A 27,402-nucleotide genomic window follows, 5' to 3' on the forward strand; every position below is an offset into this window, starting at 1 on the left:
TAGTAACATATGTGTCATCCTAAAGACTCAAACAGTATTAGCTCACAGAGACAAACTACCAGAATCATATTATCAAAGAAAATGTGGCCATTACCCATAGCACACTTTTTAGAAAGTCTGTTGAATGTTTTATAGTAGGCACTAAATATGTATAAAACTTCAGCTGACAGATTTTGCTGTGGTTTCAATATGTCCTCCAAGTTTTATGTGTTGGAAACTTAATCCCTAAATTCTTATGTTGATTAGAGGTAGGGTAATTAGGATTACATAAGGTCATCAGCAGGGTCCCTATGATGGAACTGGTAGCTTTATAACAGGAGGAAGAGAAACCTGAGCTGACTGGCACACTCTTGCCCTTTCACCATGTAATGCTCTCTGCCATGTCATGACCTGGCAATAAGGCCTTCACCAGATGCCGGAACCATGCTCTTAGACTTCCTAGCCTCCCAAACCATGAGCTAAATAAAACTCTATTCTTATAAATTGGCTAGTTTGTGGTATTCTGTTGTAGAAATAGACAGCAAACTAAGACGGATATCACATGAAATTTTTGTGGAGTTATACATGCTGTTTAGTGTATCTTCTAAAAAGCTCTCTCCTGAAATAATATCTATATTTAGCGAAAACAGAGTAACCTTTATCATTCATTTATATATGAATGGATGAGTTATTTTATTGATTATCTCTCAATGTTTGTTTAAATAACAAAATTGGTTTCAAGAGTTGTATTATTGCTACAGACTGAATTGTGTTCCTCCAAAATTCATGTTGAAACCCTAACTCCTGGTTTGATGGTGTTGGGAGATGGGGCCTTTGGGAAGTAGTTAGAGTTAAAGGAGGTCCTGTGGGCCCTCATCATGTGGTTAGTGTCCTAATAATAATAATAAGAGACACCCGATTCTACTCTCTCTTCCATAATAGGACACAACAAGACACCTGGCATCTGCAAGCCAGGAAGCGATCTGCTGCTAGAAGCTGACTGTGCTGACACCCTGATCTTAGATGGCTAGCCCTCTAGAACTGTGAGAAAGTAAATTTCTGTTCTTTTAGCAACCCAGTCTGGTGGTTTGTTTTGACAGCCCAAGCAAACTAATAGATTTTGGTGCCAAGAACAGGGTGCTGCAGTAACACATCAAATGTGGAAGTGGCTTTGGAATTGGGTAATAGCTAGAAGATTTTTGAGGTGCATGCTGGAAATACGTAGGTTAAGGGTGATTCTACTGAGGTTTCACATGGAAATGAGGAACATGCTACTGGAAACTAGAGGAAAAGCAATCCTTATGATAAAATATTTTTTTTAAAAAAACCTTGGATTGGCTGAATTGTGTTCTAGTGTTTTGTAGAAGATAGAACTTGTGAGTGATGAAGTTGGTTGAAATTTCTAAGCAAGCATTACAGGAATGGCTTGATTTCTCCTGATTGCTTGGTTAAATCTAAAGGAGAGAGATAAACTGAACAGAAATTATTAAGCATAAGTATACCACAACTTGGAAGATATGGATATTTTTCAGCCTACTGATAGTGCAAATAACGAGAAAGGTTGTTTTGAAGAGAACATTAAGAGTGTGGCTGTACAATCATTTGATGAGGAGATTTGTGTGAATGTGAACCAGGGACCTAATCCTTCTTAGCAGAAATCAGGAACAGAGATTGGATTATGCCAGGAGCAACCAGCTGGGTCTAAAGGAAATGAAGAAATAGACAATGAAGGAAAGCTGTCAAACTTCTTGGATTTTCTGGATGGGCCAATAGATCTATTTAACTATAAACCTGCACAATCTTTCAAGAAAAGAGAAGGACCCCAAAAGCAATTCACATATTGCCATGTTGCCACTCCCATCACGGGCCCAGAGTGCAAAGGCTAAGGGATTAGAGCTACCTCCACATTGGTTTTAAAGAGAAAGAAAGTGTATAACTTCTAAATTGTAGTAAGAAATAGAATTTTTAAAAGTGTAAAAAGTAGACTAATATCCATTAATCTAAAACTATTTACTGTTTGTCTTGTTTCGATAGTCTTCCTACATCTTACATATTGTTATCTGAGAGAGCTAAAGTCCAAAATTTTTGTCATGTTGTATTTATATCCATATGTACATGTATATAATATATATACATTTTATATATGTAATAATTTTATTTGAGTTATTAGAATCTTTTTTATGAACTCTTGTTCTCTTCTTGGACTTTAATTTCTTCTTTTGTATCTTTAATCATTTTAAACAAACTTATATATTCTTTCAAGTCACATGTTCTTGAGGTTCTAATCTTCCTGTTTATTTTTTCTGATTACTTTGAGCCAGGATGGGATGTTTCTACATGTGTGTACAGTTTTAATTTGCAGCTCAGCAAATTAAAATTGTAATTCATTGTGGTAATTCCTTGAACCCTGTCTTTGGGGAGCATTCATCCAGACTACACTACTTAATATTTATGTTAATTTTCAGGGTAGTAAGATTCCTGACCTACACTGAAAAATTCAGATTTCAACCCACATGAGGTAAAGTCACAGATATAAACATTCCCAGTAGAGATAACTGAGAATTTTTGTACTCTGCCCTGGTCCCAATCAGAGACATATTTCTTTATTACCTTTCTATCCTAGCAATATTTTTTAGTCTACCCTTGAACTGAAGTTGCAGCACTCCAGAGGATTCTCAAATTTGGCCTCTCCGAGCCCAAGGTCAAAGTTTCAGCTCCTGCTCCCACAATTCCTGAAGTTGCTGGCCCTGGTGATTTCCATGCAGCAGGTGCTACCGAACCTCCAGTCACATGCTCCGTGCTCTGCTGCTGGCTGCTCTCTATAGGTGACTATGATCCCAGCACTTGAGTTGCTGCTTCTTTTTTTTTTTTTTTTTAGATTTTTCAGCAATACTCGAAAAGAATACTTGATATCATATATTTTCTATGTGATACAGAGGGTTTTCAGGTTATATTGTCTTCCAGACTGCCAATCTTTAGATAGTTTAAAAAAAATTTACCTGTATTTCCTGTCAAATATGATATCAAAGATTGAACAAAATATTTAAAATTTCATGAGTAAAGAGTACAGTGGGTGTATTTTAGCCTGTAAATCTCACATGAACTTTCAGTGGCTGTTTTCTTTTTTTTCTAAATTATTTACTAGAAGAACAAAGACAAATCATACTAATACATATAGGCATGACAGTTCAATACTATTCCAATTCCTTTTCCCACTTAATATTTTCTTTACTTCATGATTCTGTGTATTTGGTGGCTAAGGCAATTAAAACTACCAACATTTAAGGACTGATCCTTGAAAATATTATTGCCCTTAGTTGAAGTAAGCCAGTGTTGGGGCTCTCAACGGTGGATTATCACATCTGTACCATAGTAGTCATCTTTCCTCTTGTCTCAGATTTCCAAATTTGGCTGCATAGTAACCCATTAAGATCATTCTTTCATTCATCAAGCATTGCTTGGGTATCTTCTGTGTGCTAGGGTCCATGAAGTATAATGGGAACACAACAGTGAACTAGACACAGGTATGGTTTTACTCTCATGGAGCTTATTTGTGGTAAGAGACAGAATATAATAACCATGCAACAGAATAAGTAAAATAATTAAAGATTACAGAGAGTGCATTGTAATTAGGGATAAAGGGAGAGAATGGTTGGTTTTAGATCACCCTTGTTCAAGGAATGGCATTTCTGAGAAGGTGACATTGACACCAAGGCCCAAAGGATGAGAGGTAGTGTAACAAAATTAGCAGAGTCACTTTCAGGTTTATTAGGAGTCCTCTTGCACTTTTCAACTTCATGAGTACACTGCCCTGCAGTACAGAAGAAGGATAATAAATATTAATGGGGAAAAGTTAGTCCAGACAGATTATGATAATAATAATAGTGAGAATAGCTAACCTTTACGTGCTTACTACGTACAGGGCATCTTCTAAGCACTTTGTGTGCAATCATTCATTTAATTTTCACAACATCCCTGTGAGATTAGATACTATTTTTATCTCCATTTTACAGAAATTAACTTGTATAAGTTCATATGCCTACTGAATGACTCAGCTACTGTATGCCTTCTCAAAAGTTTATTTTGATTTGTTGTATTTATTTTTTGAAAAAGCTGATTTTGTTTTTCAGTAGGTTATATTTGCACAGTGGAAGCTTTTGCAAACTTAGTATTTTTCTTATTTGATCTTTATAAACTGTGACATAATTATTCTCATTGAAAAAATAATTCAGTTGAGATCCAGAGAGTTTAGTTAACTTGTGCATGTTTATTTCACTAGTATGTTTTAGATCTTTTGCTCATATTCTGGTGTTCTGACTCTAACTAGTAGGCCTTCTTTACTATGCAATGTTTCAAATAAATGCATTCTCAAGGTCACAATAATACACAATTATAGGAAGGAAAGTTATTTTGGTGTTCTAAAATCAGAATAGCATATATATTAAATGATTAAGAACTTTAATCATTGGATGACCTTTGTTATTTACTTTTTAAAAAAATTATATTTATTTATTAATTTATTCCAGCTCATTCCTTGAACGATTTGAGGCAGTTAGTGTCTATTATCGTGAGTTATTTTTATAGATTCTTTGAAAATACAGAAATGCTCTAGAAATATCATCAGATATTACATATTTGGCTTTGTATATTTATATAGATGTTTTAAATAAAAATACCACTTTATAGTAATAATTAAAAACAAATCTGCATAAAACTCATTATATGAGCCAACTGTGGAAGTAGTCAATAAAAATATACATAAGCAGATTCATAGTAGCAACACCCTATTTATCTGAGCTTGTCTTATCTCAACAATGCTAATATATAAGACTTCTTAGCTGTAACAGAAGTTCCTGGAGACTTCTTAGCTATAACAGAAGTTCCCCGTGATAGATTCAAGAATTGTTAATGGAAGCTATTGTAGACTGTGGCAACAGTTGTATGACTATATTCGCTACAGCTGTAATTGTTGCTTAAAGTACCCATGGGAACATTCTTCAATTAATCATCTTCAGAACAAGGGATATCATACACTGGAATATATAAATAAAGTATTTGAGTATGTATTTATATTTCATATCAAATTAAATTTAAGGCACTTAGAAATATAACATTTTTATGATGCTTTAAATTTGCAAAGAATTTTCACATACTTTCACAATTTGAGAAATACAGAATATCCATGAGTTAATTGGATAAGAATTATTATCCTGTTTTTATGCAGGAAAAAAAGAGACCGCGTGGGTAAATGACTTATCCATGGGTCATGGTTAGTAAATGGGAAGTCAAAATCTTGAACCTTGTGTTCTGACTATAGAGTCATCTCTCTCTAATCATCCTGCACAGATTTTTAAGAAAATAAAAATACCGACATATTTTACATTTTACCCCTTTTAAGTATAGTAGAATTTTTTCAAAATTATATTAAAAATATAATAATTTGAGTCCAAAAATTTTAGATTCACATATGGTTAGCCAAGCAAAGGAATTTTATTGCTCTTACTAGTTTCATTTGAATGGACATTTAATATTTGGCAAAAAATTTCAACTTCAGAATATGGCTTCTGTGATTTCCATAGCTAAACACTTTGAACACATTTTCTGAAAACTTACCATATTGTATTTGAATTGATTGTTCATCTGTCTGAAGAAGGTATGAAGTTATTGACATCCGTACTTGTATATTTAATCTTTATTTCTAGTCTGATTCTATAACTTTTAAATGTAACTAATATAAAATAAATGATCTCATCAGGTGTGTGATTTTATACATCTCCTAAAATTCTCCCTAGACTCTTTCCAAGAATCATATTCCTGTTCCAGTCCGTGTTATCATAGCTGGCTTAAGATTTCCTATAATAAACTACTCTTTTCAATTGTCACCCATTAGTAATTAATATCATTAATATTACCAAAATTACCTATCTTTTAAATCATACTATTTGAAAACTCTCTAGTATTCTGTCACACCCCTTATTTACCCATTTTAAAATTATTGATACATAATAGTTGTTCATATTTATGGGGTACATGTGATATTTTGTTACATGCATACAATGTGAATTGTATGCATTGTGTGGGTAATTATAATATCCATGATCTCAAAAATTTATTTCTTTGTGTTGAGAACATTCTAGATCTTCTCTTACAGCTATTTTGAAACATACAATAAATTATTGCTAACTGTAGTTGCCCTACTGTACTACTGAACACTAGAACTTATTCCTTCTATGTAACTGTATTTTTGTACACATTAACCAAGTTCTCTTCACCCCGACGCCTGCCACCCTTTGTAGCCTCTGGTAACCACCATTCTACTCACTACCTTCAAGTGATCAATTTTATTTAGCACCTGCATGTGAGTGAGAATATGTGATATTTGTATTTGTGTGCCTGGCTTATTTTATTTATCATAATGTCCCTCAGTTACTCCCATCTTATTGGAAATGACAGGATTTTATTCCTTTGTCATGGCTAAATAGTATTCTATTGTGTATATATATCACATTTTCTTTATCCATTCATCTGTTGTTGGATAACTAGATTGATTCCGTGTCTTGGCTGTTGTGAATAATGCTGCAGTAAACATGGGAATGGAGGTATTTTTGACATACTGATTTCATTTCCTTTAGCTGTATACCCCAGTAATGGGATTCTTGGATCATATGGTAGTTCTATTTCTGGTTTTTTTGAAGAAACTCCATACTGTTTTCCATAGTGGTGTACTAATTTGCATGTCCATCAATAGTGTATGAAAATTCCCTTTTCTCTACGTCCTCACTAGCATCTGTTAATTTTTGTCTTTTTGATAACAGCCATTTTGACTGGGGTGAGATGATACCTCAATGTGGTTTTGATTTGCAAATCAGTTATGATTAATGACATTGAACATTTTTTCTTATACCTTTTGGCCATTTATGTCTTTTTTTAGAGAAATGTCTGTTCAAATCTTTTGCCCATTTTTAATTGTGTTATTTGTTTTTGCTATTGTTTGAGTTCTTTGTATATTATTGTTATTAATCCCTTTTCAGATGGATACTTTGCAAATATTTTTTCTCATTATTTACGTTGTCTCTTTGTTGATTGTTTCCATTGCTGTGCAGAAGCATTTTAGCTTGACATAATCCCATTTGTCTATTTTTGCTTTTGTTACCTGTGCTTTTGAGATCTTACTCAAAAAATATTGGCCCAAACCAGTGCCCTGAAGTGTTTTTTCCCAGTGTTTCTTCCTAGTAGTTTCACAGTTGTGGGTTTCGTATTAAAGACTGTAATCCATTTTGATTTATTTAGCCATTCCTGAGACTTCAGTGAGCCATTAATTAACAGTCCTAGGAACATTGTTTAATGTGTAGAAGATTAAGATCTGTCCCAGCTACATCACTTACTAGGTATAACACCAGAAGGAAGCAACACATTTTCTAAGTGATTAATTCCTTATCTTTAAAAAGATAAAGGATCAAACAAATATATTTCATAAACTAGGAAGCATCTTATTAAAGCACTTCTCTGCATGCTTAGGGATACTGATAACTCTTCTGCAAAAGTATTCCTCTACATTGTGTGTAAATAGTAGAATTGCTGCCTTTTTGTTTTCCATATTAAATCATTAGTTTTAAGGTAAAGTTATTTTCATCCTTATGGTGATCTTGTATCAATGTGAGAGACCCAGTACTTTGAAACATGAATGAAATGAAGTAAATCCAAACCTGGAGAAATCAGGGGAAATAGCAGACCACTAGAGACAAAAAGTAAAATTTATCAAGGCACTAAAAAAACAAAAAACAAAAAACAAAATCCTTCAATGGAATGAATGAATGACAGCTTAAACTGTCAGCCAACATGCTAAAAAATATTTGTAAAGCACAAGAAATTACAAGTGGCCTGATGTATTTGAAAAGAACCATAGAGAGTGTTTAGAAGTGAAATCATACAGTGAGTAAAATTAAAAGTTCACTGACTGTAATTACATACAGGAGAAGAGCTTCAGAATTAGTTAACTGGATGAGGGAAATGACTAGATGATAGATAGAATAATTTATTCAGAAAATGGCATAGAGACAAAGGAATGAAAAACACAGAAGATATATGAGTTATGAAGGGAAAAAGAAGGTCTGTCATTAATTAGGACTCCTGAAGGATGGGAGATTAAATGGTGAAAATTTTTTTTTCAAGAGAAGTTAGAATGGCAACTGACTTCTCAAAAGCAATACTAGAAACCATAAGACAGTAGAACAGATCTTCAGTGTGTGCTGAAATAAAATGCATCAGTATAAATTCTATTCTCTGTTAAAATATTTCTTAAAATGAGGATCAGGCCAAGTGTGGTGGCTCATGCCTGTAATCTCAGCACTTTGGAAGGCAGAGGTGGGCAGATCACCTGAGGTCATGAGTTCGAGACCAGCCTGACCAACATAGCAAAACCCCGTCCCTACTAAAAATACAAACAATTAGCCGGGCATGGTGGCATGTGCCTGTAATCCTAGCTACTCAGGAGGCTGAGGCAGGAGAATAGCTTGAGCCCAGGAGGCAGAGGTTGCAGTGAGCTGAGATCATGCCACTGCACTGCAGCCTGGGTGACAGAGCAAGACTCTGTCTCAAAAAAAAAAAAAAAAAACAAAGATTAGGAACAGAAAAAAAATGTCTAACCTCCAAATCTAACATTATTCTCCACTAAATTCCTCACTAGAGGAAGCTATTTGATTAGAGTAAAAGTGATCTGAGATATAATAAAATTGAAGAGTAAAAAAAGTGACAAATAGCTTGACTTATAACTGTCTTTAAAGTTAAGCTTTAAGTATGATGCTTACTGTACATTTTGATAGATAACATATCAAGTTAAGAAAGTTTTCTTCTATTTTTAGCTTTCTTTTTTTTTTTTGAAATGGAGTCTCGTTCTGTCGCCCAAGCTGGAGTGCAATGGCGCAATCTTGGCTCACTGCAGCCTCTGCCTCCTGGGTTCAAGCGATTCTCCTGCCTCGGCCTCCTGAGTAGCTGGGATTACAGGCGCCTGCCACCATGCCTGGCTAATTTTTGTATTTTTTAGTAGAGAGGGGGTTTCACCATGTTGGCCAGGCTGGTCTTGAACTCCTGACCTCAGGTGATCCACCCACCTCGGCCTCCCAAAGTGCTAGGATTACAGGCGTGAGCCACCGCGCCCAGCCCTATTTTTAGCTTTCTAAGAGTTTGTAGTGGTTTTTTTTTGTTTCTTTTTTGTTGTTGTTGAGACAGGGTCTTTCTCTGTTGCCCAGGCTAGAGTGCAGTGACGTGATCATGGCTCACTGTAACCTCAAACTGCTGGGTGTGTGTCACCATGCCCAACTATTTTAAAAAATTTTTTGTAGAGATGGGATCTCACTTTGTTGCTCAGGGTTGTCTTGAATACCTGGCCTCAAGCAGTCCTCTCACCTTGGCCTCCCAAAGTTCCGGGATTATAGGCATGAACTACCATGCCCAGCCTGTAAGAGTTTTTAATTAGGAAAAATTGTTTAGTTAAATAACTTTTTGAAATTTATGGAGATGATAATAAGAGTTTTCCCCAATTTACTCTGTTGATATAGTGAATTACATTAATAGGTTTCCTTATGCTGATCTATTCTTATATTCTGGGGGTAAACTCTACTTAATGATATTGTTCTCTTATTAGATTATATAACTGCAAGATCTGTAGTGATAGTCCTTGTTTCATTTCTGATAAGAGGATTTGTGTCTTCTTTTTATTTTTCTTGTTCTTGCTAGAAACAACAATTTAGTTGATTTTTCAAGAGCCAGCTTTTTGTTTCATTGATTTTCTTTGTTTTTCTATTGTCAGTTTTATTTATTTCTGCTCTTATCTTTATTAGTTCCTTTTTTTCTGCTTGCTTTGGGTTTATTTTGGTCTTTTTCTAACTGCTTGCTATAAGATCTTAGAATTCTCTTTTCTGATATAACTGTTTAGTGCTATAAATTTCCCTTCCATCACTGCTTTAGCTGCATCCCATATTCTTTTAATATACTATATTTTACATTTCATTACGTTCTTGCTTTTTAAATTTTCTCTGAACCTTCCTCTTTGACTTGTGTATTATTTAAAAATATATTGTTTAATTTATGAGTGTTTGCAGGTTTTCCTTTTTCTTTTTTGTTATCAAATTTTAGTTTTATTCCATTATGACCAGAGGCTAGTCTGTGTATATTTCCAAATTTGTTGACGTTGGTTTTATGGTCTACATATGGTCTATCTTGTTGAATATTTCATGGGAACTTGAACAAAATTACGATTTCAGCTGCTGTTGAATAGAGTGTTTTATAGTATTTGGTAGCAATTAAGTATGTTTAATTAAGTTATGTACTTTTTTTTAAGTATATAGGTTGTCTGTGAAGTCTCTCTTCATTCCTGAAGGATATAGAATTTGCAGACAACAGTTCTTTAAGAAAAAAAAAAAGTTGTTGTTTTGGAAAACAATTGTGCCACTTTTCTTTTGGCCTCCATAGTTTCAGTTAAGAAATCTACTGTCATTCAAATTAGCATATCCCTATAAGTAATGCATTATTTCTGTCTGGCTACTTTCAAGATTTTTTTGTCTTTCATTATTAAAAGTTGGCTTTTAAAAGTAGTCCATTACTTAAATTTTGACTTCTCCAAAAACAAGTTATTAAGAATGTATTCTGTATTGCAAGATAATATTTTTTCTTCCTGACTGTACGAGACTAGAAAAACTGTCTTTAAATAATCAATTACTCTTGGCTTATTTCTGCCCTGCTTTACCTCGGTTCTGGAGCTTAGTGCCTAGAGTTCTACTAGGAATATTCAGTGGTTTTGTTTTTTGGTTGTTGTTTGTTTCTAAGAGATATTTTTGGAAAGAGAGGCACTCATTCTGGTCTCATCTGCTTTATAGTTTCTACAAAGCCCTTACTGTTCCAATAATGCTTTCTGGACTTAGTTATTTTTATGAATTTATTTTTATACTGCATTTGCATTACAGTGGTATAACTACCCCTCCAAAAACGGTACCTTTTAAACTTTTATTTAAGATAACACACTGTCACAATGGCTGTTAAGACTATGATTAAAAGATGGTAGGAGGAGCATTTTGAAATATGAAGTGGAATTTGACCTTAGACTATGAAAGGTAGTGAGAGTACTCAAAGAGTGGCTCTTTTTTTTTTTTTTCTTTGAGACAGAGTTTTGCTCTTATTGCCTAGGATGGAGTGCAGTGGCGCGATCTCGGCTCACTGCAGCCTCTGTCCACCCCGGATTCAAGAGATTCTCCTGCTTCAGCCTCCTGAGTAACTGGGATTACAGGTGCATGCCAACACGTCCGGCTAATTTTTGTATTTTTAGTAGAGACAGGGTTTCACCACGTTGGCCAGGCTGGTCTGAAACACCCGACCTCAGGTGATCCACCCGTCTTGGCCTCCCCAAGTGCTAGGATTACACGTGTAAGCCATCGTGCCCGGCCAGGGTAGCTCCTTTTTTACGGGCACACTTCCCATCTGACCTGTCAAGGTAACAAATTCCCTAGCCCTCGTCCACCCAGCTGGTATTTCCAGATCTTTATATTAGAATGTGGCTGTGCCTCTAGGCTAGGGGATATAAGAGAAACAAATAAATGTATTTCCTTATTCTTATCCAAGTGGTGGTCTAGCCTCCTTTTGTGATATTTATTTACCTTTTTACATTATAAACAATTTAAAAGCAAGAATATGCTTTACCTAATTTTGTATGTTCTATAGTGCCCACACCATAATTTGATAAATATTACATATTTTCTCAATATTCATAGAAAACATTATATACTATTGTTTAGTTTATGATTAAACATCATTATCTTCTCTGATTTCTTGATGAATTATTGATTCCCCTACCGTCTGAGTCAGATCCAGCTAAATTCTGCAGAAGCACGTTTTGCTGCAGAAACTTTTTCGGCAATGGCAATCTTAAAGCAGTTTCCTTTTTAGAATTTGAGCTTTCAAATTTGCTTCATATGTTGTCCAATTACATTAACCAAATAATCTTAAATTAGTTTAATCAAGCCTCAAATAAAAGACTTTTGCTAAGTGTCAGAATTTGGAATTAAAAACAGCAGAGCACAGCCCATTCAACAAATGCCTTGGGTTTTCTAGTTAATCTAGCATATAAACATTGAGCATGAAAACTACTAAATCTGAAGAGACCTTTAGCAACCCTTTAACACTAAAAGGGCCTTATTTCGTGGATCTTCATTTTAAAAATTTCTGTATTTGGAGTTATGTGATTGTTACTGTATCCAAACTTATATTTGTCCTTGGTTTATATTTATTTACAGAATTCTTATTTGAAAGATAAAAGGTATTAAACTGTACCAGAGCCATTGTTTTTTTCCTGTCAGGAATTGCAGAATTTTAAATAGCCTCATTTCCGTTTTTGTGATCTGTGTTCACACCGCTAGTAATAATGAAGTAGAAAACTACTCTTTTTGTACCTTATTGCTAATCTCCAGAGTTTTCTTTTACCTTACCCCAATAGTTTGTGTAGTACACATTCCTTGTAGGGTATTCATTTTATATACGTCAGATTCTCTAGGGCCGTGGCTTTTGCCAGATGAAGCACTTTTGATTTTGAGGCTGATGAAACACAGTGCGGTTATTGATCTGTGCGTGACATAGCCTGTCTCTCTCCTAGCAGAGTGTAGCAACATTTATCCAGGAATTTGTGAAATGTCACTCGGATCATGTTCGCAAGGCAAACTGTGCAAAACCCAGGATCAGAGCTGAGAATCCATGTGGAATTGGACGTGACTGTCTTATTCCTATGTCCTGTCTTCTATTCTAGATGAAGCAAGTGGTATTTGTTAACAGAATATCTGTGTCCTATATTAGACTTTGTAGGAAACTATTATTACCACTTGGAACACTGTATACTATAAAATTGCACTTCTTATACTCTGTTTTCAGATTCATTTCTTATCTTACCAAAGAAAATATTAATATGAGAATATGTGACCTGAATAGCATCAGTTAGAAATTTCTTTTCTGTTTAAAATAAAGCAGTGTTATAATATATTGCACAATTTTATATTTCTGGTAGTGTCCTGATTTTTTACATCAACATACTTTCAGATAGGTGTGTCTCATCAATATCAATGTTTCAGGAAGTGAAAAATTGTAGCATATTTATCACTATTGAATTGATATACTATTTAACTGTGCATATATTTTAGAGTTTGGTTTTAAATGACTAGAATATTTGTATGCACATGGATAAGTATGTTTGTTACAATTCAATTTAGTTTAATGTACCTAACACATGTAAAGCGCTATAATAATGGAATATTCAACAATGAATTAAATATGAACCTTGTCCCCGATAATAACACAGTTGAACATATGTATAATAATAAAAGGAAACTGTGAGATATAGAGATATATATGTATATGTGTGTGTGTGTATATATAACATGGATGTTTAAATGCATGTGGAGAGAGAGAGTTATTCGTTCCTGTCATTCTTGATTAAGGCTTTTGAAGGAGTGGTATTTGGGCTTAACCTTAAGGTTTTGTATGATTTTGGAAGTTGTGTGCATTGAACAAAGTCATTAGAAGAAAGGATAGCTTGAAAAGACATCTAGCTGACATAGCAGTTTGTTGAGAATAGTGAATAATCTGGTTTGGCTGTGGTTCTCAACCCTGACCACTTATTATTCTCACCTAGGGAACTTTGAAAAATACTTGTGCCAAGGCCTGACCGTAGACCAATTAAATTTGAATATCTAAGAGTTAGGCCCTGTACCTTGGTAGTTTTTTAAAGCTCTCAGGTGATTCTGATGTAGAATAAGGACTGAGACTAAGGCTCGAGAGACTAGAGATTGAATGCAAGCAACTAGATAAATTATTGTTTAAATATCAAGGCAAAAGATGATTAGGAAGAGATCTAGACAATATTAGTAGAAATAGAAAGTTTTTTAAAAAACAAGAGACTTTGCAGTGTTATAATCCCAAAAGTTTGATGACCAATTGCATATAGGAAGGTAAAGAAAAAAGAGGTATTTAAGATATTTTTCAGGTTTTTAACAAAGTGAGTAGAAAGTTGATGATAGAAGAATTGTATTTGTGACAATGTAATACACTAAATATTGTGGTGAGAAAATACCAAGAAAGTTGAATAAAATATTAAAAAGGGCCTCATAAATGCATACTAGAACTTGCAAAAAGAATTAAAAAGAAACTAAATCCTTAGGATCTAAAATCAACAACAGCTTATCGTTTGTAGCCAAATGGTAATTTGTTAGTGAACTGGAAATATCAAGTAAGTAGTAGGATATATGAGTTTAAAATTTAGGGGATAAGCCTGGGCTAGACATATAAATTTTGCAGCCATGAGTATGTAGATGGCATTTAAAAATGAAGCTGAATGAAATCACCAAGGGCGTGGAGATAGGTACAAAAGAGATAAGGTCCAAGATCTGAGCTCTAGGCCCTCCAATATTCAGAAGTTGGACAGATGAGAAAGGACCAGAAAGGAGAGCCAGTGAAAGGGAAAAGCAAGAGAAAAGAGAATCTTAGAAGCCAAATGGTTAAAGTATATCAAGAAGGGAATGATATACTTTATCATTCTCTATGCCAACTGCTGCTTATTAGAATCAGTTCATGGGAGGAATTGAGGAATGGGAACAGAAAGAGAGGAATTGGAGGATATAATTAAATATGCATACATTTTAGAGTTATTTTGAGGAGATTTGCTGGAAAAGGGAGCAGAGAGCCTCTAAAATATAAACATCTAATAACTTAGGCTCAAAATAAATAATTCATGTATTGATAATATCAGTACTTTTAAGTAATGCTGATAAAAAGTCATTAAAGATATACATTATTTTAACAGAGCAATAAAAAGTCTTTCTCTAAGTATTTATCAAAAATGTTCACATAACTAGGCCACAAAACAACATTCCATAAATTTCAAAGGATTTGTATCATATAAATAGTATTATCTAACACAAGTGAAGTAGAAAATACTTTAAAAAGTTAACTTAAAAATATCTGATGCGAATTTATAGAGGCATTTCTAAAAACTAATGGGTCAAAGAAGAAAACAAAATGAAAATGAAAAATACTTTAGATTGAATCACAATGAAATAACACAGATGGAAACTTTTAGAATGTGACTAAGGTGGTACTCAGATGGAAATTTATATCCTTAAATACTTGTAGTAAGATTAGAAGAAGTCTAAGAATCACAGAGCTAAACATTTTATTTAAGAATGAGAAATTGAATAAACCCAGTGTTGTAGACTAAATATATGTGTTCCCCCATAATTCATAACCCCCAATGTGATCATTTCAAAAGTGGAGCCTTTGAGAATTAGTTAGGGTTACATTAGTTCATGAGGGCGGGGCCCCCATGATGGGATTAATGCCCTTATAAAAAGAGGAAGAAACAGGAGATCTCTCTGCTCTCTGCCATATGGCAACTTGGAAGAATGGCCTCACCAGACACCAGATCTATCCACAACTTAATCTTGGACTTCCCACCATCCAGATCATAATAAGTAAATGTTTGTTATTTAAGCCATGCAGTCTATGATAATTTATTATAGCAGCCCAAACTAAGACACCCAAATAAAATAGAAATATTAAAATAAGGGCAAAGTTGATACTGTAGAAAGTAAAAATGCAGCAGACATGATCAACAAATCCAGAAGCTGGATCGCTGAGACTAATAAGTTGACAAACATTAACAAGTGTTGATAAGGATATAGAGAAATTGTAACCTTCATACAATGCTATGGGAATGTAAAATGGCACAGGCATTTTGGGAAATGGTTTGACAGATCCTCGCAAAGTGAAACATAGAGTTACCAAATAACCTACCATTTCCACTCCCAGGTATACATTTAAGAGAACTGAAAACACGGCCGGGCATGGTGGCTCAAGCCTGTAATCCCAGCACTTTGGGAGGCCGAGGCGGGTGGATCATGAGGTCAGGAGATCGAGACCATCCTGGCTAACAGGGTGAAACCCCTTCTCTACTAAAATAAAATACAAAAAAAAAAAAAAAAAATGAGCCGGGCGTAGTGGCAGGCGCCTGTAATCCCAGCTATTCGAGAGGCTGAGGCAGGAGAATGGCGTGAACCTGGGAGACGGAGCTTGAAGTGAGCCGAGATCACACCACTGAACTCCAGCCTGGGCGACGGAGCGAGACTCCGTCTCAAAAAAAAAAAAAAGAACTGAAAACATAAGTTCACATAAAAAACTTGTACATTAATTGATAGAAGCATTATTCATAGTAGCCCAAAGGGGAAACAACCTATGGGTCCATCAACTTATGAATGGAGAAAAAACTGTGGTGTATCCATGCAGTGGATTATCATTCATTAATAAAAAGGAATAAAATACTAACATATGTTACAATATGGATGAACCTTGAAAGCATATTGCTGAGTGGAAGAAGCTAATAATAAAAGACCATATACAGTATGATTCTACTTATATAAAATGTCCAGAAAAGGCAAAATCCATAGACAGAAATTGGATTCAGTGGTTGACTAGAGCCAGGGATGGGAAAGGAGTTTCTGTAAATGGGCATGAGGTTCTTTAGAAGTACTCTACAATTAGTGTGTGGTGATAATTGCACAACTCTGTAAATATACAAAACATCCTTAAGAAATAAACTTAAAGAAGTGTACACCACCTTTAAAAGATAAAAACGTGCCAACCAAGAATATTATGTCTGGCAAAACTGTCTTCAAAAATGAAAGTGAAAGAGACTTTCCCAGACAAACAAAAGTAGAGGGACTTCATCACCACTAGACCTTTCTTAGAAGAAATACTAAACTGAGTTCTTCAAGTTGAAACAAAAAGATGCTAAACAGCAATACTTAAAAGCATGTGAAAGTATAAAGGTCACTGGTAAAGGTAAACAGTGGTGTGTAATCACTTTTTATTCTGGCATAGAAATTACAATAATAGGTATTAAAAAACATAACTAAAAATATGATAATGAATACATAATATAAAAAGATGTAATTTGTTTCACCAAATTACATGTGAGAAGTAAACGTATGAATATTTTGTATGTGATTGAAGTTATGTTGTTATGAGCTTAAAAGATTGTTATAAACAATATATTTTATGTAAGCTCCATGGTGATCACGAAGAAAATACCTATAGAAGATACATGAAGAAAGTGAAAAAGGAGTCAAAACGTGTCACTGCAAAAAAAAAAAAAAATCAATGAAATACAATGAAAGATAGCAACAGAGGAAAAGACAGACAAAAGAGCTATAAGACAGAAAACAAGGTAGCAATAGGAAATTTTTTCACCATCAGTAATTAAATATAAATGGATTACATTCCCCAGTCAAGAGATGGAGAGTTGCCGAATGGATTAAAAAAACAGAATTCAGCTATATCCTGTCTCTATGAGACTCACTTTAGTTTTAACGACACAGGCTTATAGTGAAGGGATGGAAAACTATATTCCATACAAAGGGTAAGCAAAGGAGAGAAGGGGTGGCTATACCAATATCACATATTAAATCAAAAACCATTATAAGAGACAAAGACATTCACCTGAAAGAAGGGCCTATTCACCAAGAAGATAAAACAGTTATAAATATTTATGTGGCAAACCTCAGAACTCCTGTATGTATAGGAAGGAAACTTTGACAGCTGAAGGGAGAAATAGGCAGCAACACAATAATAGGAGACGTAAGTACTCCACTTTCAACAATGGATAGAACAAGATTAATCCGGAATCAGAGGACTTGAACAAGACTGTGGACCAATTGAACCTAACAGATATGTAGAGAATACTCTACCCAACAACAGCAGAATATATATTCTTCTCAAGTGCACATGAAATATTTTCCAGGATAGACTACATGTTAGGCCAAAAACATACCTTAAATTTAAGAAGGTTGAAATAATACAAGGTATCTTTTCTGATCATAATGGTATGAAGCTAAAGAGCAATAGCAGAAGGAGAACTGTAAAATCCACAAATGTGTAGAAATTAAACAAAACTTTCTCTGTTTTTGAGATGGAGTCTCGCTCTGTCACCCAGGCTGGAGTGCAGTGGCATGATCTCAGCTCACTGCACCCTGCACCTTCTGGGTTCAAGTGATTCTCCTGCCTCAGCCTCCTGAGTAGCTGGGATTACAGGCGCGAGCCACCATGCCTGGCTAATTTTTTGTATTTTTGGAGAGACAAGGTTTCGCCATGTTGACCAGGCTGGTCTCAAACTCCTGACCTCAAGTGATTCACTCGCCTTGGCCTCTTAAAGTGCTGGGATTACAGGTGTAAGCCACCATGCCCAGCTAAACCAAACACTCTTAAACAACCAATGGGTTAAAGATGTCACAAAGAAAATTAGAAAATACCTTGAGACAAATGAAAATGAAAACATAACATACCTGAATTTATGGGCTGCAAGCATAAGCAGTTGTAAGAGGGAAGTTTATGTACTGTACACTTGAAAATTTGTTAAGAAAGTAGATCTCATGTTTTTTTACCACAATAAAAAAGGTAAAAATTTTCTGATAAAATTAAATATCTGTTCATGATAAAAATTATCTTAGCAAACTAGGACTAGCAGGGAACTTTCTTATTCTGTTAAAAGGTGTCTACCAAAAACCTGAAACAGTTCTGTTAAAAGGTGTCTACCAAAAACCTGAACTAGCCATCATACTTAAAGAAGTTAGATGCATTCTTTTTGAAATCAGGAAGAATACTTCTATGCCTGCTATCATTGTTTGTCTTTGATGTTGTACTTGAGTACCTAACCAGCACATTAATATAAGAGACAGAAGTGAAAGTTAAATATATTAGAAATGAAGAAACAAAACCATCATTAGTTCCCATGCATTATGCTTGTCTCCACAGAATCTGAAGACAAATTACTATAATTAGTAAGAGATTTCAGCAAGATTGCTGGATCAGTAATATACAAAGATAATAGGACTCATATTCACCAGCAATCAACAGAATATGCAATTTAAAAGAAAAATATTGTTTAAATAATAGCAGGTATTGTGTGGTATCTAGGAAGGGAAGTTGTATTACAATTTCAGGGATTGTTAAAATGTGAAATAGTGTCTTTAAATTGCTATATGGTTGAGGAGTCTATATGTGTATATATTCTAAAAGTATAAAGAAAGGTAAGGGAAAAATAAACAACAAAGTTATTCAGGATAGTGATTATTTCTGGTGGATCAGGAGAGACGTTCATAGCTTCAACTGTATTGGTAATATATTGTCTTAGTTGACTGGTTAACACATGGGCATTCATTGTATTTTTCTTTATATACCTATGGTATATTGAAATATTTCATTAAAAATGAAGAAGGAAATCTACTGATGTCATTAGCCCAGAGAAAGAATGCTGGAGGTGGAACAAATCTTTGCAGCAAGATCTTAAGTTTGGGGGAGTTATCTGCTATATGGGCAAAGAGGAGTCAGAGAAGGAGATCCAAAAGAACTGTACAGAGAATGTGGAGGAAAAATTGAGTACTTTAATAAAGAAACAAGGGAGAGAAAGTTTTTAACAAGAAAAAGAGAAGCTTTGGTCAACAGTGTCAGATCCCATAGAGGAACTGATAATAGAAAACTGAGAAGAGACTGTTGGACTTTACTAAGAAGACTGTATTAACAAGACTGTCTTGATAGCAAGTGATAGAAACAGACTTCAAACTAACATAAGAAAAAAAACACAAAATCAAAGGATGAACTGTAGATCATAGACTTGGTAAAGGTACAGAAAATTGCAGACAGACACTCTAATGTTTTTAACGCTTCTTTCTCACATCTCTTCATTCCAGACCAGACCAGCTTTCTCCATGCAGCTCTGGCCATGCGTATTGGCCATGTGGTAAGCCTACATTCTTATAGCTCTACCTCAGAGAAGGAAAGAACTTCTCTGCTTAAATTTGGGGAGCCACAGGAATACAAATACTTTGTCTGTATGTCATTTTGAGTTAGGATTTAGGTTATTTCATTATATGTTAATTGTCACCTACATGAGTAATTGACAGGAATTTCAGAGTCATGAGGGTACAGAGTAGTTTCTATTGGGCAGGACTGATTTATACATTGCAGTACTTATGTATTCTTTGCTGTCACCCACTTCAGTTGCCAATCATTGTGGCACTCAAAAGTGCCCCAACAAATTTCCAAAATACACACACATCTGGGTAGTATGTACTATTTGAGAACTACTGATTTAGAAGAAAAGCAGATCAACTGGCTTGATTAATAAAAATGGAAGAACACCTAGACTTACCCTCTTACTAAAGATCTACATGAATCATTGTCCTTGATGTAGCATAACTGCCTGAGAGTCAGGTATTTATTTGACTTTATTTATTGAGTGACCTACTTTGTTAGGTCAAGCCTTTTTACTTGAAAGAATATGATAAACAGAAAACAATTCTGAATAGAAAATGAAGGGAAGGCTGATGGTAGAAGTTCCTATGTGGAATTTTGTGTGTTGGAAAAAATAGCTTTTCAGTGAAATCTATGAGAAATACCTTGAATAATATAGTATAGGTCAAAACTTTGCAAATCTCTTTTTTCTATATAAAGGAAATTTCTACTCTATGCTATGAAAGACTTTTTTTGGTAATTTTTACATATGTTGGTCCTTAGTTTTTTAAAATCCCATTTTAAATGGTATCAGTAACTTTTTATTTTATCAAATCCAAAGATTTTTAAAAGTCCTTTCTAAAAATGTCCATTTTTCACTATCTTGAACCTTATGAAATTTATACAGGGAATAGAAAAAAACATTATTGCTTCTCTTGAGAATTTTTATAGGGTATATTTATAAATGATCAACATGATATGAATACTTAGTACTGCTGCTGTTAAATTTGTAATGAGTTGTAGGGTTTTGAAATTCCCTGACTGGCTTTCATCCAAGCACTTTATTTGCAAGACTTAGATACGGTACAACCAACGAGAGACATACAGTTAACTATTGACCCTGTGGGGAAAAGCAAGAGAGATCAGATTGTTACAGTGTCTGTGTAGAAAGAAGTAGACATAGGAGACTCCATTTTGTTCTGTACTAAGAAAAATTCTTCTGCCTTGAGATTCTGTTAATCTATAACCTTACCCCCAACCCCGTGCTCTCTGAAACATGTGCTGTGTCAACTCAGAGTTAAATGGATTAAGTGCGGTGCAAGATGTGCTTTGTTAAACAGATGCTTGAAGGCAGCATGCTCCTTGAGAGTCATCACCACTCCCTAATCTCAAGTACCCAGGGACACAAAAACTGCGGAAGGCCTCAGGGACCTCTGCCTAGGAAAGCCAGGTATTGTCCAAGGTTTCTCCCCATGTGATAGTCTGAAATATGGCCTCGTGGGAAGGGAAAGACCTGACCATCCCCCAGCCCGACACCCGTAAAGGGTCTGTGCTGAGGAGGATTAGTAAAAGAGGAAGGAACGCCTCTTGCAGTTGAGACAAGAGGAAGGCATCTGTCTCCTGCCTGTCCCTGGGCAATGGAATGTCCCGGTATAAAACCCGATTGTATGCTCCATCTACTGAGATAGGGAAAAACCGCCTTAGGGCTGGAGGTGGGACCTGCGGGCAGCAATACTGCTTTGTAAAGCATTGAGCTGTTTATGTGTATGCATATCTAAAAGCACAGCACTTAATCCTTTACATTGTCTATGATGCAAAGACCTTTGTTCACGTGTTTGTCTGCTGACCCTCTCCCCACAATTGTCTTGTGACCCTGACACATCCCCCTCTTCGAGAAACACCCACGAATGATGAATAAATACTAAGGGAACTCAGAGGCTGGCGGGATCCTCCATATGCTGAACGCTGGTTCCCCGGGTCCCCTTACTTCTTTCTCTGTACTTTGTCTCTGTGTCTTTTTCTTTCCTAAGTCTCTCGTTCCACCTTACGAGAAACACCCACAGGTGTGGAGGGGCAACCCACCCCTACAGACCCTATCATGAAAATATTTCCGTTTTTAAGTATTAAGATGTAATTCATATTTAGGATATATTTAAGAAACATATGTCTTTCGCTAGCTTGAATATATGAATTTGGAGCTGCAAATGATGATCTTTAGCCTTTGACTCTATAACCCCCAAAGTTGGTAATATTTAATTTAGATTAATGTGATAATGTAGTCTTCCTAAGAACTGATTCAAATGTAATTTAATGTTTATATTCATACTTTTCAGAGGCTTACTGAGAAATTCTTTATCTTATAAAATTTAAATTTCAGAAATATATCATGGTCTATTATAAATTTTTAGAAGTCAAAAATTATTCTAAGGAATACTGATGCCTCTCTTTTGAAGCTTATGTAGGAATTAAGTATTATGAGCAATTTAATACTATATATGGATATTGATTTCCTCTGGCTAGTCCACAAAGGCCTTTTAGAGCAATAAAATACCATAAAATAAGAAGTAATACTATTGTAATAGCACACCACAAGGACAAGAAAACAGTCAAATAAAAGTATTGAAATCTGATTTCTAGGAAAACCAAGTTTAATCAGAGATGAATCAGCAGTCTTCATGAGACTTCTGCAGATATTTCATAGTCTGTTTCTGATAACTCAGTCATTATAATTGTACTTTAAAAGTTATGGCCTCTTTTCATGTGTATGTCTTTAAAATTTATGAATGCGGTATTTCACATAGACTGCAGTCAAAGAATCTCTCATCCGCATTTACTCTGAGAGAAATTGCCTGGTGGGCAACTCACTGCCATCAGGGTCCCAGAGCTTCTCCCGCTGCGGTGTCAGCTACAGGAACCTTATCCCAGCTCAAAACTAGATGCTATCACATATCCTGTTGCCTGTCTGCACTCCCATAGGAAAGTAGTAATTAAGTTCCAACAGAGCCATGTTGCCAAGCCTAAAGACAATCCTGGTGCCATAAAACTGGCAGATACATTCAGCCAGCTCACGAATACACTTTGGGGCCCTCCCCATAGTTGAGGTTGCAGAGGTTTCCTGTGTTGAGAAAAAAGTGTTTGGAAAAGTTCTCCCAAACTGCCCTGGCTTGGCTTTAAACGTGTTGGCGTACACAGTTGCGGTCCGCTGGCCCAGCGTGCTTCTCCACCTAGGTGGTCGCCTGCACTCTGCTCCGGTGCTGTGCATGCTGAATCCTTGGACACTTGTTGGTCCCCCAAGGTGAAACTATCAGCAGGACTCACAGTTTATCACCATGGGTGCCAACATCCCACCTCAGAGAATTGCTGAAAAAACTGAATCAAATATGAGTGGTTTATTCAACTGAAGTTCAAAATCTTTGATGAAGCTTATATCCCTTGTAGTGTAGCCTGTCAGTTCCTGGTTAACTTTCAGCAAAACACATTTTCTTGGTAAGATGGAAGAATTCTGAAAATCGATGACCATGGCATGTGAAAGACATGATTTAAGTGAATGTCTGCCTTACTTTCAAACAGCAAATGATGCTGTCCTTAAGTGACAGCCCAGGTCTCGCCACATGCCTTTCCAATTGTTGGTGTGGCTGGTCTTTCATATGGGAAGACTGTACTTGGCTGATCATCTTCTGTTCATTTCCGGAAGTGAGCTCCAAGGGAACTGTTCAGTAACTTCATGTAAGTTTACAGATAAATTCCTTTTGAAGTTTCCGGGCCATGGTTTGAAGAAAGGCCATGGGAAGCGTCTTTTGTTCCATGGGAAAAATGAAAAGTCGCCTTTTCTGCATAACCTAGAAGATCAGGGAGTTTGAGGCCAAGTACCGTACTCCCTTCATTGTTTCCAACCATGGTGTTTTAACTGCCCATTAATTTCCTTAATTCAGTTACTTCAAAGGTAACATCTAACCCATTTGGAAATGCATTGTCACCTTGACATGTATCACTCAAAAAATTCACTTGTCTAAAAAATTCCTGGATGAAGAAATTTTTCACGGGCTTCATGAGAATTCCACATTACCTCAATGAGATTTTTAGCCTTAAAAACATCTCCAGTTTTACAAACGGTGATATTATCTTTATTTAGTCCATCCAAGCCCATAAAAATGGGCATGTTGAACAGCCAGATCTTTGTTTTTAAGAATTTCCTGTTTAGCTTCACTTTCACCTTCAGCAAATTCAGTTTCATTTTCTGATGCTCCAAAGCCAGATCCTCTTGGTGGAAGAGGCTCCAAACTCTGCGTGTACAATGTCCTCAGGCTTCCTTCTCCTGCTGCCACCTCATAGAGCTCCCCAGGCCTGACCAAGCCTTGGTTATGAGGGCAGGAGGCTGCCGTTCTTTACTTAGATACAGATAATGCTGTTAACATCACCCTGAAACATCAAGTATTATTTTTGTTGATCTGGCATGTTTATTTTTTTTCTTGGTTCTTTGAGTGGACATTCACTTAAAACATCTTTAAATTGGGATGGATTCTTTTCTTCTTACTGCCACTCAACTCCAGTAACAAAAAAATATTGACAAAGAGGGTGAAGGAAGAATATAATTAAAGTGGTGAATAGTAAATAGGACATGTGAGGAATAGCTATTTCTATGTTGAATTAACTGAATTTAAGCAGGAGAAGGAGAGTGAAAAAGAGGAGTTCCGAAAGACATTGCACAGTTTCTCCTTTAGGACATCAAATAGCGCTACCATCCTCTTTCTTTCCTATTGAGGAAAGGAGTCAGAATGGGTATGCATTGCAACCTCATAGTCATTAGTAAGCATGTCATATGTAAGTCTCGTGTTTAGGAGGGCTATGACTGAACTCATAATATTACCATATAAACATTGAGAAATTATGTTGGTAGTGAGGATGATGAATTATTCTGGATATACTTTTGGTTCCCATTATCTGTCCCAGTATTTAGTACCTGGTATTTAGTTTTCAAGAGAGCTTTTCTTCTACCATTAGGTATATCTCCCAGTGCTATCCCTCCCTCCTCCCCCCACCCCACAACAGTCCCCAGAGTGTGATGTTCCCCTTTCTGTGTCCATGTGATCTCATTGTTCAATTCCCACCTATGAGTGAGAACATGCGGTGTTTGGTTTTTTGTTCTTGCGATAGTTTACTGAGAATTAGTGGGTGCAGCGCACCAGCGTGGCACATGTATACATATGTAACTAACCTGCACAATGTGCACATGTACCCTAAAACTTAAAGTATAATAATAAAAGAAAAAAAAAAAGAGAGAGCTTTTCTTCTCGTAACTTAAACAGAAGATTTGAAATAACAACAAACCAACAGTCAAACTCTTTTTTCTGTGAATAGACAAATGTTTATTTTTCCCGTGAATACTTGAAAGTCAATTGTATTAGTTGACTTTCTAAATTTCACATATAACGTGTTTTTACTATCCATTATTTTCCCCATACTTGTGGGAACAGAAGTTTAAGTGATGTGGTTCAACAAATCCAATTAAAATGCGTTCATTTAGTTATTCAGATTATTTTGAAAGACACTACCTTGCTAATATCACATAGGTTAAAATTTGCTATAAAGGCATATAATGTTAAAACTATTCATATAAATTAAAAGTACTTGTTAAATGTTTTGAGTATTTTTGGTCTTTCAGAATTAAAAGTATTAGTAAACTGTTTTGAATAATTTGACACTTGAAATAATAGTGTTGATTTTCATTTTGAGAAATATTTAAACACAGTTACAAAATATTTAATTGGACATTAGCTAGAACTTGTGTTACAAAGTATAAGGGCATTGAATTAATTTAACTCCTTGTAAATGTTATTGAGAGTAGCGTATCTCTTATCCATATGCAGATATCCATATTTCTCTGATAGAACCTAATTTGAACACATCAAGACAGATTGGCATTTTCAGACCCATAAAAAAACTGCTTTGTTAATTGTAAACCATATTTAGTATGACCTTATAACAAAGTAGCACCTTAAGTGTCATGCTGTGTCTTTAATGTGCACACTGGAGCTGGGTTCATCTGTAGCAGACAACTACACTTCATGAAAAGAGTTTTTTTTTCTTGATAGGCAATTAGCAGTAATTAGGAAGATTCACCTCAATAAGATGTCAACATGAGATTGTTTAAAAAAGTTGAATGTCAGTGACTTAAAAAAGAAAGTTCCTCTGACACCTATGTATGGCATGTGAAACATGAAATGTTAATTTAACTTTTCTGCTTATTATTCATGCACAATATTATTTTGTCATTCAGACTCTGCACTGACAGAGTGTAAGGGTGTTAAAATAGTGTTGCTGGAATAAAAAGAGGATTAATCTACCATTGGCCAATTAGCCAAAAGGTACTTAATGGTCTCTAAAGGCTACTGAAGTCTAACTACTAGCAAAAGCATTGGTGAAAAGTCCTCTATATTACCTTCATTTGCTTGACATTTTGTGAAACATAGTGTAGCCCTTTCATAACTGCAGTTGTCAGAAAATAGTATATAAATGAGTGATGCAGTAACTCAGTGGATTTTTCAGAAGAAATTTTGTTACATAAATAATTACATCTCTGCCTAAGGGTTTTTTTTGGTTATTGGTTTTTAATTTTTAATTCTTTCTCTTAGTGATCTCAAGTATTGTAACAAGAAAATTAATGTTTTAAATTTAAAAGTCTTACTTTTAAATTACTAAACTTGGAAGTTATTAATCTGAACTATTTACCTTTTTAAATAAGTTGTATGGAAAATATTTGTTAATGACATAGAAAATGATAGCATTGTCTTGATAACTCATACATTTGAATTGACTGTGAATTTAGTCCTATACCTGGACAGCATGCAGAATTTTATTTCTTTCAGTTTTATCCCCTTTAAAAGTATAATATTCTCAATAAAAGAACGTTGATTCTATTCACAGGAGGGAGAATATCATTAAGATTATGGTGACTTTCTAGGGAGTTCTTGCCTGTAGAATTTACATATATTCTGTTCAATTAGAATTTTCTCTCCAGTCTCATTTATTTACATTCTGGTAACAGAATTTATGTTGTAATTTTTTAGAAACACAATAATAAGATTTTAAAATTGCTGCCTGTACTTAATTATGAATCAGAATAATCAGATTATGAGAATGTAAATGAACTTATTTCTGTATTCAACATTAAATAGTCTTAAGTCAGTCCTAAGCAGAATTTAAGATGAGAGATTTTGGAGAAGTTATTGGAAACAGATCATTCTCGTTTAATGATTGCTTTTCTCTACTTGGATTGTCAAGCCCTTTGTCTTTCAAAATGAGAAAGAAAACTCGGAGAGTACATTATTGTTATAGATGGGAACTAAGCCTCACTTTTTACTCTGGTTACTGATTGGCCTTTTTCAATATTGAGCGTCTCACCGTTGCTCCAGCATGGACTGCAAAGTGTTCTTTGGCCACCAGCTGTTTCCTCCATGGGCCTCCAAGAAACCCTGATCCAGTGTCTCTGGCATTCCACCTCATGTTTGGCTGGATTTACTAGAATTTTGTGTCTTTATGTTTCAGACTCCACTATCCCAACTAAGAATATTTCCAAATTTTTTAAATGGTTCATTACTTTAAATTTTT

The 27,402-nt window shown here is 35.1% G+C and overlaps 1 protein-coding gene and 1 pseudogene across 20 annotated transcripts in view; one reads left to right on the forward strand and one right to left on the reverse strand.

Annotated features, from left to right (window-relative positions):
- CNTLN (centlein) overlaps window positions 1–27,402 on the forward strand; it is a 393,595-nt gene that overhangs the window by 289,406 nt on the left and 76,787 nt on the right. The window contains exon 19 of one of the 20 annotated variants that reach the window (XR_929282.3): window positions 2,603–2,804. The exons of 16 other annotated variants lie outside the window; for them this stretch is intronic. Coding sequence is in view for 3 of the 4 variants with exons in the window: in XM_017014842.2 (XP_016870331.1) it covers window positions 922–972 (51 nt within the window). In the remaining variant the exon portion in view is untranslated. 3 more of the 20 variants (XM_011517941.3, XM_017014843.2, XM_017014842.2) reach the window with 3 other exon arrangements.
- SAMM50P1 (SAMM50 sorting and assembly machinery component pseudogene 1) lies at window positions 22,557–24,170 on the reverse strand (annotated as a pseudogene).

Source organism: Homo sapiens, chromosome 9 (assembly GCF_000001405.40).
Source record: "Homo sapiens chromosome 9, GRCh38.p14 Primary Assembly".
Taxonomy (NCBI): domain Eukaryota; kingdom Metazoa; phylum Chordata; class Mammalia; order Primates; family Hominidae; genus Homo; species Homo sapiens.